The 2,451-nt window shown below is 43.9% G+C and overlaps 1 annotated feature.

Annotated features, from left to right (window-relative positions):
* Window positions 1,423–1,717: an enhancer, noted in NCBI's record as "tiled region #9487; K562 Activating non-DNase unmatched - State 13:Ctcf". NCBI's record gives its function as "activates a minimal TATA promoter and a strong SV40 promoter by Sharpr-MPRA in K562 cells {active_cell/tissue: K562}" and the evidence as "EXISTENCE:reporter gene assay evidence [ECO:0000049][PMID:27701403]".

The raw sequence follows: 2,451 nt of genomic DNA, 5'->3' as shown, positions 1-2,451 counted from the left end.
TGTGTTGTTGCCTGGTTCAATCCCTTGTGAAAAGAACTTATAAACTTTTTTTTTTTGAGACAGAGTCTCACTTTTTTGCCCAAGGTAGAGTGCAGTGGTGCCATCTCAGCTCACTGCAACCTCCACCTCCCAGGTTCAAGTGATTCTCGTGCCTCAGCCTCCTCGGTAGCTGGGACTACAGGCTCGAGTCACCATGCCCAGCTAATTTTTTGTACTTTTAGTAGAGATGGGGTTTCACCATGTTGCCCAGGCTGGTCTTAAAGTCCTGAGCTCAGGTGACCTGCCCGCCTTGGCCTCCAAAAGTGCTAGGATTACAGGCATGAGCTACCATGCCCAGCCCAGAACCTATAAACATTTTAGATTTTTTTTTCTTTAATAATATAGATGAGGTCTCACTATGTTGTCCAGGCTGGTCTCAAACTTCTGAGCTCAAGCTCAAGTGATCCGCCCAACTCAGCCTCCCAAAGTACTAGGATTACAGGTGTGCCCAGCCATTGTGCCCAGCCCATTTTAGTTTTTCTTTTGGTGAACCTATGAATTCTTCCTGTTGGCTAAATACCTGGATACGGAATTGCCATTGGGTAGGTGTATGTTTTATTTTTATTAGAAATTGCCGAAAGTTTTACAAAGTCTTTGCACCATTTTACACTCTCACCAGCAGTGTATAAGAGTTCTAGTTGCTACACATCTTTCCCAAGGCTTAGTATTGTGAGCCTTTTTAAGTTTAGCTCTTCTTTTGGGTATGTGGTGGCATCCCATTATGCTTTTTTCTATCCCTGTTGATTAATGATGTTGACTATATTTCCATATGCTTCTCGACACTTTAGATATCATATTTTGTGAGGTGCCTGTTCAAATCTTCCTCCAATTTTTAAATTGAATTGATTGACTTCAGGGAATTCCTTATATACCCTGGGTTGAGTCCTGTCATTGACATGTGCACTGTGAACAGTTTCTCCCCATTTGTAGCTTGTCTTTACGCTTCATTAATAGTTTCTTTTGATAAGTAGAATATTTTAATTCCATGAAGTCCAACTTATAATATTTTTAAGTTCAGTGTGTTTTATATCATGTTTAAGAACGCTTTGCCTATCCCAAGATTATGAAGATTTTCTTCTATATTTTCTTTTAGAAGCTTTGTGATATTCACTTTTCTATTTAGGACTATTGAAATGTAAAAAGGGCTGGGCGCGGTGGTTCATGCCCGTAATCCCAGCACTTTGGGAGCCCAAGGCAGGTGGATCACGAGGTCAGGAGTTGGAGACCAGCCTGGCCAATATGGTGAAACCCCGTCTCTACTAAAAATACAAAAATTAGCCAGACGTGGTGGCGTGCGCCTGTAGTCCCAGCTACTCGGGAGGCTGAGGCAGAAGAATCGCTTGAACCCGGGAGGTGGAGGTTGCAGTGAGCTGAGATCGCCCCACTACACCCCAGCCTGGGTGACAGAGCGAGATTCCGTCTCAAAAATAAATAAATACATAAATAAAATAAATGGAAAAAGTTCCCTTGTCCCCCTCGCAGGGCTTGCGACAGACGGAATGGCTCACTTCTTCAGTGCCCTGCTGCTCAAACCTCTAGGGGGCGCATGCAGACGGGCAGGCTGTGGGGCTCTGACACCACTGCAGTGTCTAGGGGTGAATGTTCAAGCTGAAGGCCCAGTGGGCGTGTGTTACAGGGTGCTCTTTTAGTTTAGCCATCCATAGGCGGCTTACGTTAGCTCAATTAGACCCCTGGCTTATCGCAAAGACAGAGGGCTTTCTGTATCTCAGGGTTCTTGCTTTGGTGTTCCAGAAGAATAGGATTACACGTGGGTTTGGAGAATGAGTGCAAGGGTTTATTGACTGGAAATAGCTCTCAGCAGATGGGGGAGCCAGAAGAAAAATGGTTTTCCTGTGGAGTCGGGCAGCTCGGCGGACCTGGGCTCTCCTTTGACTGTCCCAGACAAACTTCGTGTTGTTCAGCGGTCAATGGCCTGCCTGCCTGCTGGTGTGCTCCTACGCCGTTGAGTTCCCCTTGATGTCCAGCCACCTGTGTGCCTGCCTGCTAGGGTCTTGGGCAAACATTGGAAAACAACACAAGATCATTCAAGTCAGTGTCTTCTACTTCTTTCCGCAATTCCGTAAACTGGCACCGATCCATAGCATTTGCATGCATATGTTGCGCAACTTTCATAACTGTATCCACTACGCTTTCCATGAGCCTGATTCAGAACACTGAGCACAAATGTTTTCAGTATGTATTTATGATGAAAGAAAGAAAGGGACACATCAATCTTTTGTTTTAAAATTTCCTAAATTCATATCTAGCTGAAACTCTTCTTTGACAATATTAAAGGTTCAAATATTTCTATACCATGAGTTTGACCTTTTAGTTTTACATGTTGGCAACATTTCATAAATTTGGAAGTTCTTTGAGATGAAACATATCCAAAATATTAATTGGGCATGACTT

Source organism: Homo sapiens, chromosome 11 (genome assembly GCF_000001405.40).
Source record: "Homo sapiens chromosome 11, GRCh38.p14 Primary Assembly".
NCBI lineage: Eukaryota > Metazoa > Chordata > Mammalia > Primates > Hominidae > Homo > Homo sapiens.
This window is presented reverse-complemented; position numbering and strand designations above follow the sequence as displayed.